Here is a 16969-nt window from a genome sequence, read left to right as displayed (position 1 = left end):
GGTGGCTTAATCTGTAACATCTCAATATTCTGTGCTGTCAGAAATAATCTGAGCAAGTCTGAATGCCCATTTATATGGGCAAGGTGAATCAAAGTACTTTGCCTAAGGCTGTGAGGTAACTTCAAAGTGAGAAGTGTTTCCTTATACCTCTTGTGTCAGAAATGGGGAAAATCCAATTATAAATCCGTTCTGTTCTAGAAGGGGGGTGCACAAAACTTGGGATAACTCCTGTAGTCAAAATTTCCTGTACAGGCCTGGCAATATATAGAAGTGAGTTCAGCATCCTTTCCTGTGCAAGATATACTCTACCAAAGTTTAGTAAAGGCAATTTGAATAAGAACTGCTATGACCTTACCTTATATATATATTCACAGTCATTCTGGAACAGCCAGTGAAATTAGGACTTACGTTTGGCAAGCAATAGCTGGTACTATTAATCAGATAATTAAGAAATCTTACCATATTCACCTTAGATCTGCTATTGAAAAGTAAAAGTTGCTTAATTGGCCTAATTTCTGAAAAGTTTTTGTTTTTCAGACAAGCCAGTATTTAGGATCTATTTGTTCAATACTTCACCATACCCATTACTGGCTGGCAGGCTTTTTCATCTCTCATGTTTAAGAGTAGTCAAAAATTGACAAACAAAAGGTAAAATATATTACCCATTTACCAAATGAGTCCTCTCAATAATATTATTTGCATATGTAATATGAGCCTAGATTACATATCTATCTATACATACACATATATATATATCTGAATATGTACCAAAACCAAAAATTAAAAAATAATGTGAGTTGTATTCTATATTTTTATTTTGTAGCCTATTATTTTGTTCTCAGTATAATTGTTCCAGATAAAACTATGATGGATGGCTCGTTTTCATTTAAATTATTAAATCAGCTTGGAATGATTGAAGAGCCAAGGCTTTATGAGTAAGTAAAATTTACTATTTTCTTCTCTCATATATTCAATGTTTGCTTTCTTCAGTATCCCATCCAACAGATAATTTAAATAGTGTAGTTTATTTTTTAATCTAGAGAGTCTTAAAATGTTAAATATTAAAAGGATCTCATATGTTATATTCTAATTCCTTTATTTTACAGAGAAAGATAACATATGTTAAAGAGGCACCCTTACTCTAAACAACTAGTGACTTTAAAAGTTCTAAGCGTATCAGGAGATGGAGACCATCCTGGCTAACATGGTGAAACCCTGTCTCTACTAAAAATTCAGAAAATTAGCTGGGCATGGTGGCACGTGCCTGTAGTCCCAGCTACTCAGGAGGCTGAGGCAAGAGAATTGCTTGAACCCAGGAGGTGGAGGTTGCAGTGAGCTGAGATTGCACCGCTGCCCTCCAGCCTGGGTGACAGAGCAAGACTCCATTTCAAATAAATAAATAAATAAATAAATAAATAAATAAATAAATAAATAAAATAAGTTAAAGAGTAAAAGACGACTTTGTGTCTTTCTCTCTCTTATGACTCTCATTGGAGTGTTTTTCCTAACCATATTGCCTTCTAATTCCCTCCAGTTTTCAGTTAATATCATGTTCACAGTGATGTGACTTCTTTAAATAGAGTGACACAATTTTAGTGTTTCAGAGAACTATTCCCACCTACAAGGCTCCCAAACAATAGGGGAGGGTTTTGTTTTTTTCTCAATCTTTTATTTAACTTTTTATGTATGTACATATGTATGTGCAAGTGTGTGTACATATTTTAAGGTTATATAATTATATAAAAGAATGCTCTTGGCTTGAGCTTGTTGAATATATATTTCTGTGTTTAATAAATTCTTAAACTAGAAAATTATTTTTTTCTTAAATAAAAGAATGATATAAACGGGCACACTACCATATAGTTGTGGTTTCCAACCTGCTGTGCTAGACTTCTAACTAGCCATTAAATGATGAAACGATTTTCAAAAGGCTCACAGACACCATATCTAGTGATTAAAAGAAATATAAAAGTGTATTTTGTTGTGGATAGACAGAGCAATTTGGCTTAAGTTTTGACTGGTTATTGAACACATTAGGGTTTCAGGAAGCATGGTTGGTATTTCCAACATTTACTGCTGTCACAGTATAGGTAGTTACAGTACATAAATTAACTAATTAACTAAATTAATGTGCGATGGACCTTGGACCTGAGTACATAGTGACATCTAAACTCTGTGAGCCAGGAGAAAGTCCCTGACTACTTATTTATTTGCACATTCACAAACAATGGCAGTGAAAGTATTTAATGTTACAGTATTATTAGCACAGGTAAAATCTGAAACGATATTAAAATATAAAAAGTAGCCATAGCTCATAATAGTAGGTAAACCTTTCAAACATTGGAATCCACAAAGAAAATAATGATAAGTTCACCATAACGAAAATATAAAATACCTGTGTACTGAAGTAACATAAAAACCATTCCATCAAGGGATGCCATGATTATCCTGAGATAGTACCCTGGGTTACAAGTCCAGCAAAATGTTTAAAATTTTGGATAAACATATGTTTAATATTAGATTGTATAAATGTAATTTTCTTAAAGTTAATAAAGACATTGCAGATGATTTAACAGTCGTATAGAACTGGTAGTGAAAGAGTAACAATTATCCGTTTTCCTTTCCCTTTTTAAACTAACCTTCCGTCACCCAAAGAAGATAAAAGAAATTAAACAAAAATTCCAATCCAAATTCTTGACTTTCGTCAAGACCCATCTTTTATTGAGAGAAACTTTTCGGCCCTTTTCACCTAATTTTGAACACTGAATGTTCTAAAATAATAACTAATATTATTCCATAATTGTTCATTACTTTAAATTGCTTACAATTGTATTTATGTATGTATATACATACACATTCACACATGATCTATTATTTATTCTTATCAAAAACAGGATTTTTGGCTATTAAATTGATTCAATTGCTTATTCAAATTATTCAGCATCAAACTTATTCAGGCATTTCTCAAAATAATGGGGATCCAAACTGACACAGACAGTATTTTGTTCTCAAGAAAGTCACAGAATACTGGAGACTCATGCATAATTGTAGCTTTTAGTAAAATGTTTTATAAAAGAAGATCACTTAATGTACTGTTGGAGCCCAGAGAAGAATCAAGGAAGTATTTGAAAGCAAGGCAATACAGTCAGGGAACAGAAAGCATGTATCAAAAACCTAGAGATAGGAGAGTACCTGATATAGTTTGGCTGTTTGTCCCCACCCAAATCTCACCTTGAATTGTAGTAATCCCCACGTGTCAAGGATTGGACCAGGTTGAGATAATTGAATCATGGGAGTGGTTTCCCCCATACTATTCTTGTTGGTTCTGTAGGTTGCAGAAGACAAGAATTGAGGTTTGGGAACCTCCACCTAGATTTCAGAGGGTGTGTGGAAATGCCTGGAGCTCCAAGTGGAAATCTGGTGCAGGGGCAGAGCCCTCATGGAGAACCTCTGCTAGGGCAGTGTGGAAAGGAAATGTGGGATTGGAGCCCTATACAGAGTTCCCACTGGGGCACTGCCTCGTGGAGCTGTGAAAAAAAGGCTACATTCCTCCAGACTCTAGATTGGTAGATCCACTGACAGCTTGCACCATGCACCTGGAAAACCTGCAGACACCCAACGCTAGCCATGAAAGCAGCTGGAAGAGGGGCCGTACCCTGCAAAGCCGCAGGGGTGGAGCTGCCTAAAGCTATGGGAGCTCACCTCTTGCATCAGCGTGTCCTGAATGTGAGACATGAGTTAAAGGGGATCATTTTGGAACTTTAGGGTTTAATGACTGCCCTATTGGATTTCAGACTTGGATGGGGCCTGTAGCCCCTTTGTTTTGGCCAATTGCTCTCATTTGGAATGGGTGTATTTACCCAATGCTTGTACCCCCATTGTATCTAGGAAGTAACTAACTTGCTTTTGATTTTACAGGCTCATAGGTGGAAGGGACTAACCTTGTCTCAAATGAGACTTTGGACTTGGACTTTTGGGTGAATATTGGAATGAGTTAAGACTTTGGGGGACTGTTGGAAGGGCATAATTGTGTTTTGAAATGTGAGAACATGAGATTTGGGAAGGCCAGGGGTGGAATGATTTGGTTTAACTCTGTGTTCCTACCGAAGTCTCACCTTGAATTGTAATAATCCCCACCTGTCAAGGGCGGGACCAGGTGGAGATAATTGAATCACAGGGGTGGTTTCCCCTATATTATTCTCTTGATAGAGAGTAAGTTCTCAAGAGATCTGATGGTTTTATATGGGGCTTCTCTATTTGCTCGATTCTCATTCTTCTCTCTCCTGCCACCATATGAAGTAGGTCATGTTGCTTTCCCTTCTGCCATGTTTGTAAGTTTCCTGAGGCCTCCTCAGCAATGCAGACCTGTTGAGTCAGTTGAACCTCTTTTCTTTATAAATTACCAAGTCTTGGGTATTTCTCCATAGCCACATGAGAACAGACTAATACAGTATCTAAATTCAAAAATTGCACATGAACACAGGCCTAGAACAGATGTTTCAAATTTGTTCAGAAGGCAAAGAAACTGTTGGTCTTGAGTTAATTTACAAACATTATATTCTATGTGGAACAGCATGAAATAGTGATTAATTTTATTCAGCTACTTGGATTAGTTAGTGCACTGTTGTGAAGGAATATAAAATACAGGAACATATACGCATGTGTTGTAATCTGTCCACCTAATCTTGGCTAATGGGTTTACTGTTTTTCTGTTAATAATTATTTGCTAATACAGTCATTCATCATTTAACAATGGGAATATCCTCTGAGAAATGCATATTTAGGTGATTCTGTCATTGCTTGGACATTATAGAGTCCAAACTTAGATGGTATAGCCTGCTACACACGTAGGCTATATGGAGTGTAGCATAGGTTTATAACCTAGAAGCAATAAGTTACAAACCTGTACAGCATGCTACGGTATTGAATACTGGAGGCAATTGTAACACAATGGTAAATATTTGTCTATGTAAAAATATCTAAGCATAGAAAAAGGTACAGTGAAAATATAGTGTCATAATTTTATGGGACCACTGTCATATATTCAGTCCTTTGTTGACAAAAAAATCATTGTGCAGCACATGAGTATACATTTAATTATGTTTTGGGATTTTAATTGTCTTTAAGATGGCACAGGAGTCAAAGAATTTTAAATGATCTTTTATTTTCCTTTTTAAAATGGAAACAGGAATATTTACTCACTGTAGAAAATGTATAATATTATATAATAGAAAATAGGGATCACCTGTAATTATACCATCCAGGAATACCTACACTTTGCATTTGGTTTATAATCATTCTTCCCCTTCCTCCTTCTTGTACATGCCCCTATGTGCAGACATATGATTTTTTTTATTTAGCAAAATTAGGATCTGATTGAAATGTGTTCTGCATCCTGATTTTTATACTGAATGTTATTTTTTCTATACTACTAATGATTCATTGGACCAGATATATTAATATGCCAATATAGGATGTTAAATGGGAAATATCAATATTGGATATTCAGGATAGAAAGATGGCCCAGACATATGAGTAATGGAGAGATTAGAGGGAGCAAGACGTGAGATAGGAGGCTACAGAAGTAGTTACTGTGATAATTCATATGAAAGATAACATGAGCCTGGATCCAAATCAGTGGGAACAAAAAAACAGGGTAAGGGAGATTCCAGAGGTTTTGGGGCTTTAGAATAGACATGTTGTGTGTTTGCATGGTTAATTGAATAAGTGAACGTTAAGGAAAGAAACCAATCTAGAGTGACTTCAAGTTTTGAGCTTTGTGACTATTTAAAAAGTATAATGCTATTATACTGAGCTAAAAGATACATGGAGAGAATCCAATTTAATCCATTCATTACAAATTATTGAGTTCTTCTATAGACCCGGATCTGTGCTAGGAATAGGGGATACAATTCTGGACAAATTAAATGTCTGCTCTTATATAAATTAGATGTCTATAGCAGATAGATTTTAAATTAATAATAAAAATAAAACAACGATGTCCATCATTCTACTATTCAAACAATTTTTAATGATTATCTACACGGAGCCAGGCACTGTGTTAAGTGCTGGGGATACTGTGGTGAGAAAATCAGTCATGGTCTTACCTTCATTAAGCTTGTAGCATAATGAGACATATAAGGATAGTCAAATAATTATAAAATTATATAAGTAAAATCTGTTCATAAAAAAGTCTTGACATAAATCATAATGTATATAGAAAATTAAAATAGGGGATGTCAATTAGTGGGGTGACTAAAAGTTTCTCTATTGATGCTTATATTAGTCGAGTCCTGAATGGTGAACAGCAGTCATTGCCCTACTGCATTCTAGGCAGAAGGACCAATAAATACAGAAAATCTGAAGCATAGAGAAGCATGACCCACTTCAGGAGCTGAAGGCAGTTTAGTGTGTTTAAGAATAAAGGCTGGGGCTGGGCATGGTGGCTCACGCTTGTAATCTCAGCACTGTGGTAGTTCAAGGTGGGTGGATCACAAGGTCAGGAGTTCGAGGCCAGCCTGGCCAATATGGTGAAACCCTGTCTCTAATAAAAATACAAAAATTAGCTGGGTGTGGTGGCGTGTGCCTGTAGTCCCAGCTGCTCAGGAAGCTGAGGCAGGAGAATCACTTGAACCTGGGAGATGGAGGTTTCAGTGAGCCGAGATTGCACCACTGCACTCCAGCCTGGGTGACAGTGAGACTCCATCTCAAAAAAAAAAAAAAAAAAAAAAAAAATAGAGACTGGGAAAGTAAGAAAGAGAGGAGAAATCTAGAGAACACTTAGATATATTATAGAAATTAGAACTCATAGGCCATGTTCCAGAATTTATATTTTATTCACTGGGCACATGAAAACCACTGAAGTATTTTAGTTGTGGCAGTCAGGTTGAGGCCACAGTTGGATTTTTCTTTTGGAAAAACAATTTAACCACAGTGGATTGGAGAGATACAAAGCAAGATGCTGTTGCAGGAATATAGACATGACACAATGGTGCCCTGGGTTTGAAGGTTTATAGTTGAAATGGAAAAATGAGGGATTCAAATCAGTTTTGATATTTCAGAGGTAAAGTCAATATAAATTTCTGATAGATTGAATGTGGAGGTTGAAAGAAGGGCACTATCAAGGGTGAATCCTAGTTATTTGACTTGGGTAATAGGTGGTGATGCCATTTAATACTCTGAGACAATGTAAGTTTTAGTTTTAGTATTTTTTTTTTTTTTGGTTGGAGAAAGTGTTGGAGAAGATGAGTCATTTAGATTTGAACCTAGTGAGCTTCAGGCATCCTTAAGATATCCACATGGACACGATAAATGACAGTGGATACATGTAACTAAAACTTAGCATACAGGCCTTAGCTGAAGGTAGAGATTTTGTAGTCATGAGCAAACTGTTGGTAATTGAAAACACTGGTGTGGCTGTGAGTTTGTATGGAAAGATAACACATTCCTATCTGGATATGTTGAATTTGAATTATCACTGAAAAATTTGGATATGTTCATGGAAAGACATTAGTGATATATCTAATGACATTATAGTCTGTGAAAAAGAAGGTGGTAACCCTGCCAGGAGGTAGCAGAAATGGACTTTGAGTAGAATGATCATGTCCTTTTTCTGGTGTCTAACTGCTGCAAGGAATCAAAAAGAGAGCAGGAAAAAATATGAGATGGCAGGGAGTGCTGGGTGCCCTACTAGTTACTCTTCAGCTGTTCTCTGTGTGATTGTCACCTTTGATTAACCAAGTTGTTGTTGGCTCAAAAGAGAAACTTCTTTGAACTGATTTTTTAAAAAACTTTTTTTCCCTTCACTTCTGTCCTCTTCTTTAGTCCCTTCCCTTTCTCCTCCTTCTTCTCCTCCACCTCCGCCTTCTACTTTTCTTTCTCTTCCTTCATCTCTTCCTCCTACACCTCTTCTTCCTCCTTCTCCTTCTCTTTCTCCTCTTTGCCATCAGTTTTTTCTAGTGAGAAAAAGTGCAATAGAGTAGCTGGAGTTCCTCTTGGGGTCATGAAAGCCCAGGTTGAGATAAATGACTCCAGGGACCCACATTTCTGGCACATAGGGATGAGAAATTGAGCAGAGCAGTGAGGAGCATTATTAGCTGTGTGGCTTTGGGAAAGACATTTATATGCTCTGATGCTCAGTTTTCTTATCTGTAAAATGGTAATACTCATAGTACCTAATAAAAGGAGTTTTTCAGGTAGTTAAATGAGGTTAAGCATGTAAAGCTTAATTACATTGTAAATGCACAGAAAATTGTACTTATTAAACACTGTATTTCTGTTTTGAATCTCAGGCCTTTATAAGTTATTGCTCTAGGTCAAAAATATTTGATAAAATATTTTTAAGTTGTCCGTTAAGCACCTAGTCTATTTAAGGAACTGTAAAAAACACATATAGGATGACTTCTCTAATTCTAGTCAAATGTAAAATCTAGACATCTACTCAGAAAGACATGTCACTTTTTCCCAAAAGAAGCATTTTCAAAATAGTTCTATGAGGGAATGCATTTATTATTATTTTGCATTTATTATTTTGTTCTGTTATAAATTACGGTTTTAATTATTTTAATAAATACTGCAATAATATTTTGTTTGGCCTTTTCCCTATAATTTTGTTCTCTGTGGCCTCCCTTATTAGGATTATATTGATTTTAGAATTGAGTTATGTTTCAAATTATTAATATGCTGCGTGTATCAAATTTTCTCTCTAGAAAGAACAAACCATTTTATAAACTTCAAGAAGTCAAGATTCTTGCTCAATTTTATAATGACTTTGTAAATATTTCAAGCATTGGTTTGACATATTTCCAGAGCTCAAATCTGCAGTGTTCCACATGCACATACAAGATCCAGAGTCTCATGTTAAAATCACTTACATACCCAGAAAGGTAAGAAAATTAAATTTTGATTTCAACATGTTATCTTTTAAACTTGAAAATATTGGTTTCTTAAGTAATGGTTTAAAAATTCATGTATTCAAATATCTGTTTATTGTGTATTTCAGACTATATTTTACATAAATATTAGAATCTCAAAAAGGTATAAAGGTTTTTTTGGCTTTAATAAAATTTATTTGGGAATCTCATTGTCTAATCAAAGAAAAAATACACACAATCATTTCACAGACACAATAAAGATAAAAAAAAGTAACACCAATGCCTGCCTTAGAAGTTTACCAGTAATTTCTTTCATATACATACATATTAACAGACTGGTGAGAGTCCTTTTTCACAATTTTTTAGATGAGGGTCAATGTCTAAAACTCTCTAAGGAAACATATGGTCACAGAAGATAGACTTTATCATGACTTCCAGCAATATCTTCTTTCTCTCAACTTCATTGCTGTTTACTTAGGAAGACAGAAAAGCCTATTTTCATCTGCTTTATCTAAGATTCTATGGATCACTTGAGATTCAACCCCAAGAATATGCTGACAGGAGTGAGGTTCTCAGATGTCTACTATAAAGGTGTGAGGAGAAGCTGACACTTTACATTGCAGTTTTATAGTCACCTGTCTTGGTTTGTCAGTATATCACAAATATCCCCATTCCTATTAAAATGTAACACAATCCTGACTGTCTGGGCACCATTTTCTTGAAGACGACATGCTCCAGAAGTGTTTTTCTTATGACATTTCATATGCTCTTCTCAGTTCTACGTCCTCACAATCAGAGGTTTTCCCACTATCCTTGTTCCACATGATATAGATGTACATGTTTGCTGTAGAAGAATCCATATTTCCATTGACAACACCCTGTGAAATCATTAAGAATTATTAAAAATCTCTTTTATAAGTTGGTCATCTGTCAATCTGCATGTGTGAGTTGTCCAAACACTAAGCATCAGCTGAGAGCCTATAGAAATGGTTGTGTAGGTTGCTGGGAATCTCTCTTTTTTAGTTGACTGTGGTGCTTCCTCTTTATTTCTCTTTATGTTCCTGTATTTATATATATTTATTTCCTAATTATCTTCTTGTCAATGTTAAACATAGTACACAAGAACCTGTGGAGAGTAAAAATAAAAATAATAAATGATAATAATATACATTTAGGTGGGGTCTATATCAACAGAAGAGAGTTGGGAAGTCATTTTATAACTTTTGGTGTGATATTATTTAGTTACTGAAAAGTCAATAAATCAGATGTTGCTATAATGGCAAAAATCTAGGAGTAATTGTATTGTTCCTTGCCTTTGAAAATGCCAAAATATCTGAACATTTTCGGCAGGAACATTAGCAATATCATTCCCTATGAAAGTATATAGTGGGGAGGGATCATGCCTTGAAGGACTAGAGCTGTAAGATTTTCAATCTTCAACTAATCTCTGTATCTGTTATTATTATTGTTATTTTTGCTTCTCATCACTCTCTCTTTTCCAAAACATCTAATACTTTTAATGGTAAAGGGCTACTGTATTTGGGGATTCCATTATCTGGTCATTAGAACAGCAAATACAATTGTGGAGTAGGCATATTTCGCTGGGTTTTTCTAGAGTTTCTATAAAACACTCTTCCAGGGCAATTTTTACTCTATGATTCTGATTAAAATTCAAGTAGCATGCTGATTAAAGTTCACATCTTAGGGAACTTGATGTCAGGAAAGTACTTCCTAGGACAGATAATGCAAATAATTGAGTTGATAGATATTAAAATATTTATCAAATATAAGTGTAAGTTAATATACTAATTATAGTATAAATATAAAATCTAAATTATAAGTATACAAATTGGCCAAGAGTGGTGGCTCACGCCTGTAATCCCAGCATTTTCAGAGGCCAAGTCGGGAGGATCACTAGAGGCCAAGAGTTTGAGACCAGCGTGGGCAACAAGGCAAAATCCTATCTCTACAAAAAATTTAAAAAATTAGCCATGCATGATGGTGCGTGCCTGTAGTCCCAGCTGCTAAGGAGGCTGAGGTGGGAAAATCACTTGAGCCTGGAGGTCAAGGCTGCAGTGAGCCATAATTGTGCCACTGCACTCCAGCCTGAGCAACAGAGCAGGACACTGTCTCAACAACAACAACAAAATATATATATAATATATTATCTATAATCTATAAATATACTTATATAATACATAATTATTATAATCTATAATTAAGCCATTGACCTAATATGCTGACATTTTTGTTTATTTCCTTTAGGTTAGTTTATGTATTCATTTATTTATTCAATGTTATTTCAATTTATTCTATTTTTTAATTATACTTTAAGTTTTGGGATACATGTGCAGAATGTGCAGGTTTGTTACATAGGTATACATGTACGATGGTGGTTTGCTGCACCCATCAACCTGTCATCTACATTAGGTATTTCTCCTAATGCTATCCCTCCCCTAGTCCCCCAACCCCCGACTGTTATTTTGAAGATGCAAAGCCTCCACTAAACATAAGAATAGAAATTATATTTGTAGTCCACTAAGGCTAGGCTGTAAAGGGGCCAGGAGTTTTGCATCATTGTAACAGGGGTTGTTGTCCCCTTGTTGCCTTATTAATACCTTCTAAATGTAAAGTTGGAGTATAATTAGAGATGTCTAGAAGTTGTAGTGCATGCTTTCTTCCTGGGATTTAAATTTAAAGAATTTATATTATCCAGGGATGAAGTTTTCTCCCTGTGGTATCATAAATACAAGAGAATTTCCTCCTCAGTCGAGAGGCAGCACACAATGTAAATCTTGGCCAGACATCAGAAATTTAGCTAGAATATTTGCATATAAAACAACACATAAGCTCAAGATGAGAAACAGAAATTTAGTTCCATTCATATGGACGGTAAAAAGAACCAAGGATAATCCACCCTCTGTGTACATGGGCAAATGCCAGGGCAGCTACCACTTTCGTCATTTAAGCAGAAGTGGACAAGAAAAACACAACAAAACAACAACAAAATGAGGCCTAATGCAGCATAGCAATGCAAGAAGAAAAGGTATAACAATCAAGATTTAGAAATAAGGTTGACTTTTTAAAAGATTTATAACAGGAAACAGAAGAAAGTTCCATAAAGCATTGCTCAATGTTCTCAATGGTAGTTAAGAAAACAAAAATCCATATAAGAACGAGTGAAGAGTGAGATGATGGGACAACTGATTGCAGTTAAAAGAAGGTTGGCTGAGTTAAAAAAAAAAAAACAACTAAAGTTATTTGGTATCAACATTAAAATAGTAAATAATAGATTTGACCAATAATGTAGAAAATATATTTATCAATAACTTATAGAATAAGGAGATATAAAAATAGAGAAAATAGGGTCTTAGGGTGAAATAACTGAAATGCAATATTTTGGATACCTAATGTTGCTGAAGAGGAGACACAGCAGAAGAACTAACTACGGATGTAATAAAAAAAAATTCCCCTTCAACTGAGGAAAAGAAGATACAGATCTCAAATGGAAAGGATGAACTGAAAACCAGGAACTAAAAGAACGAAAAGAACAAACATTTAGACCCATTCTTATAAATTTTATTTTAAAACTTTGATGATGAAGAGAATTCTGCAAATATTCAAAAAATTATCAACGGAGTAGAAGATTCAATGTTATAGCAATAGCCATTCTTGTTAAATGCACCTACAAGATTAACATGACTCCAGTCAAAATCTAAGGTAGATGTTGCTTGGTTGTTCCTAATCAACTTGGAATTACAAATAATAAGATGAGCCAAACAGACTGAATAATGAATGTAATGTTCACAGCTTTATGAAACAGTAATATTCCAAAACAACAATAAAGATATTTGATGCTTGAGGAAGAATATAATGGAATAAATGGAAAATTCCAAAATAGAATTTTATAGATGATAAGAAGAGCATTACAGAAAATGATGCTGGAATAAATGACAAGTGAAAAAGACTTTGATATGTCATATATCAAGATTAATTTTAGATATGGTAAAGTATTAAATGTATACTGATAAACAAAAAAATGGAGGAAAATCTAGGCAAATGTTTATATTTGCACAATAATGAAAGCCAAAACAGGAAACTGAAAGAAAAATATTACGGTTGCCTACAAATATACAAAATTAAAACTGTATGTCACAAACAAAATTAACAAAAGTAAACTGAGAAAACTTTTGTAATGTATATGACATAGATGGATTTAAATTATTTATATATAAATAACTTTTACAAAAATATTTTTAAAATACGTTCTAGTTGAAACATGGAAAGAAATATCCTTCCAGTTGTTTAAGCCAAGAAACCTGGGTTCATCATAGACTAGTCTTTTTCTTCTCACTCATCATCCAATCATGAAATCTCTTTGTTCCTACCTTCTGAAAATATCCAGAATTCTTTACCACCTGTACTGCTACAAACTCACTAAGTTTTATCATCTCTCCTTGAATTCTTAAAATAGCCTCTTAAGTGTTCTCTTGCTTTTAGCTTTGTGTCCTATAATTTGTTGTCCTATAATTTGTTGTCCAGAGTGACCCTTTTAAAAGTGGGTTATGTCACACCTCTGCTCAACAATCTCAAAAGTCTTGCCTTCACACTTCATATAAAAGCCAAAGTCTTCACAATAGCTTACAAACTCCACATGACCTAACTAGTATCTCCACTGCCTCATACCTCCCAATTTCAACGCCTTGACTACTGTACCTGCACACTTAGCTATATCCTGACAGCCTTCTTTGCTGTTCCTTGGACACACCAGGTAGGATCCTCCTTAGAACCTTTGTACTGGATGTTCCCTCTGCCTAGAAATTTCTTCCCCTTGAAGTGCCGATGGCTAACTTTCTCACCTCCAAGCTTTTGCTCAAATGCCATTTTCTCAATGAAGCCTACTTTTATCATCCTGTTTACAATTGTGAGCAGCAGCTCTTCCACTATCAATCCTCTTACCTGGAATTTTTTGTTGTTCTCGTAGGAGTTATTATCTATACTGTCCTCTGTACTTATGTTTGCTGTTTATTGTTTGTATCTCTGCAAGTAGAAGATAAGTTTCTTGAGGATGTTGAGTCTATGTATTTTCTTCAAAGACTTATTTCAAGTGCCTTGAACTGTGCCTGGTACATATTGGGCACTAAAGGAATAGTTGTTGAATGAATAAATGCAGAAATAAATACATTGGCATGGAACAATTTTAAAAAGAAAGAAAAAATGATTAATAGACATGTTTTTAAATGCTTAAACCCAATTGAAGGCTATGAGACATAATATATCTCTTCCCAAACTGTAAAAAAAGTATATTGTTGAAGTTATACTGAAATTGCCATCTTGTTTCACCAATTGTAGGTATGTAAAATTGTATACATATACTGGAAATAAGTGAATAAAATACATTAATAATCCCCACTAATAATAAAATACACTAATAAATTGTATACTGGGTATAGTATACAATTTGGAAATAAGTGAATAAAATACTCTAATAATCCCCAAGTGTTAATACTTCTGGCCCTATCCTCTTCTAGAATTTATACTTCAGAGACATAGCAGAAAGTAACATTTAAGAGTGTCAGCTTTGGAGCCAGAGTATCCTGGTTCGAATTTCAGTTCAGCTAATTACTAGCTTTATTACCTTGAAAATATGATTAACCTTTCTGTGCCTCATTTTCCTTACCTGTAAAATGGGAGTAGTTATAGTCTATTTTGCAGAATTGTTAAGAAGATTAAATAATGTAATATTTATAAAGAATGTAATATATTGCCTGGCATATAAGTGTTATGTAAATGTTTGTTAAATAAATAAAATGAAAGATCTAAAATGCACGTATGTATTTCTATAGAAGACATTTACAATTTGATTAACAATGCTAAAAATTATAAATAAATCGACTGCTCAATAATAGGGTAATTTATACATTGATTATGGAATAGCTGTAATATTAAATGTTATGCAATCATTAAAATTGCAGAACTATCACAACATAATGATGGCTAGGGACAATTTTTTCCAAATATATAATAAATATATAAGTATTCCATAATTGGAGAAAATTAAGTGACTTTTTCTTATAAAAATACCTTGATTAAAAAATTAATAAAATTTATATGGATACCAAAATTTTGCAGCTTTAGTCTGAGTGCCTTGCACACTTGTTTTAACTCCTCTAGTTATTCAGCTTAATTGGATTTAGTTCAATCATTTCCAGATTCTTTTAAAAATATTATGCTGTTCTCTAGATAAATGAGAGCACTTATTCACTGAAGAACAGCCAAAAAGCTGTCTTTAATTTAGAGAATAAACTTAGACAGCCAATATGCAGTTATATTATTTGTCCTGAAATCTTTATTTTTTTATCTATCTATCTATCCTGTTATATTACTTGTCCTGAAATCTTTTTTAATTTTTTAATCTTTATTTTTATTTTTTATCTATGTTTAGGGGGTTCAGGTGCATATTTCTCACATGAATATATTGTGGAGTGGTGAAGTCTGGGCTATTAGTGTGCCCAAAACCTCAATGGTGAACATTGTAATCAATACGGTCTGGTATCAATGAAATCCCTCAGCTTTTGTTTTTCTGGGAAAGTCTTTATTTCTTCTTCATGCTTGAAAAATACTTTCCCTGGATATACTACTCTATGGTAAACTTATTTTTTTCCTTCAGCACTTTAAATATGTCATGCCACTCTCTCCTGGCCTACATGGTTTCCACTGAAAGTCTGGCACCAGGAGTACTGGAGCTCCATAACATTTTATTTGTTTCTTTTGCTGCTCTTAGGTCCCTTTTTTTATCCTTGACCTTTGGGAGTTTGATTATTAAATGCCTCAAGGTAGTCTTTCGGTTAAATCTGTTTGATATTCTATAACTTTCTTATACTTGGATATTGATATCTTTCTCTAGGTTTGGGTATTATCCCTGTTATTTGTTATTATCTTGGATCAGTTATTATCCCTTTGAATAAAACTTTCTACCCCTATCTCTTTCTCTACCTCCTTTTTCAGGTGAATAAATCTTGTATTTCCCCTTTTAAGGCTATTTTCTAGATCCTGTAAGCATGCTACCTTGCTTTATATTCTTTTTTCTCTTCTGACTGTATTTTCAAATAGCCTGTCTTTAAGTTCACTAATTCTTCTTTCTGCTATATCCATTCTGCTTTTAAAGGACTGTGATGCTTTTGTTAGTGTGCCAACTGCATTTTTTAGCTCCAGAGTTTCTGCTTGATTCTTTTTAATTATTTCAATCTCTTTGTTAAATTTATCTGATAGAATTCTGAATTCCTTCTCTGTGTTATTTTGAATTCCTTTTAGTTTCCTCAACACTGCTATTTTGAATTTTTTGTCTAAAAGGTCACATAGTTCTGTTTCTCCAGGATTGTTTACTGGTGCCTTATTTAGTTCCTTTGTTGATGTCATGTTTTCCTGCATGGTGTTGATGCTAGTAGATGTTCTTCGGTGTCTGAGTATTGAAGAGTTAGGTGTTTATTGTAGTCCTCACTTTCTGGGCTTATTTCTGGTCATCCTTCTTAGGACAGCACTCCAGACCTTTTAAAACACTTGGGTCACAACTTGAGTGTTGTGATCTAAGCTGTTCCTGCTTTAGGGAGCACCCCAGGCCCAGTAATGCTGTGGTTCTTGGAGACTCATAGAGGTACCACCTTGATGGTCTTGGACAAGATCCAGGAGAATTATCTGGATTACCAGCAGAGACTCTTGTTCTCTTTCCTTATATTTTCCCATACATATAGAGTCTCTCTGTCTCTGCTCTGAGCCACCTAAATCTGGGGGTGGAGTGACACAAGCACACCTGTGGCCACCAACACTATGACTGTGTTGGGTCAGACCTGAAGCCAGTACAGCACTGGGTCTTGCCCAAGACCTACTGTAACTCCTCCCTGGAAACTGCCTATGTTCACTCAAGGCCCTGGTGTTCTACAATCAGCAGGTGGCCAAGCCGTTCAGACCTGTGTTTTTCCTTTTAGGGTGGTGAGGTCCCCCAGGCCCTGAGTGGATCCAGAAGTACTATCCAGGGGTCAGCGACTAGAGTCAAAAACCTTAGAAGTCTACCTGGTATTCTACTATATTGCAGTTGA

At 34.8% G+C, this 16969-nt stretch overlaps 1 protein-coding gene and 1 pseudogene across 8 annotated transcripts in view; one reads left to right on the top strand and one right to left on the bottom strand.

Annotated features, from left to right (window-relative positions):
• Positions 1–16969, top strand: part of LIPI (lipase I) — a 102144-nt gene that overhangs the window by 57448 nt on the left and 27727 nt on the right. For 6 of the 8 annotated variants that reach the window (NM_198996.4, NM_001379566.1, NM_001302999.2 and 3 more), the window contains 2 exons: positions 824–935; positions 8709–8885. The exons of 1 other annotated variant lie outside the window; for it this stretch is intronic. In NM_198996.4, the coding sequence (NP_945347.3) occupies positions 824–935; positions 8709–8885 (289 nt within the window). Of the gene's footprint in view, positions 1–823; positions 936–1106; positions 1213–8708; positions 8886–16969 lie in introns of those variants that run through there. One more of the 8 variants, XM_006723965.4, reaches the window with a different exon arrangement.
• Positions 9041–16969, bottom strand: part of ERLEC1P1 (endoplasmic reticulum lectin 1 pseudogene 1) — a 65494-nt pseudogene continuing 57565 nt past the window's right edge.

Source organism: Homo sapiens, chromosome 21, assembly GCF_000001405.40.
Source record: "Homo sapiens chromosome 21, GRCh38.p14 Primary Assembly".
Classification (NCBI taxonomy): domain Eukaryota; kingdom Metazoa; phylum Chordata; class Mammalia; order Primates; family Hominidae; genus Homo; species Homo sapiens.
This window is presented reverse-complemented; position numbering and strand designations above follow the sequence as displayed.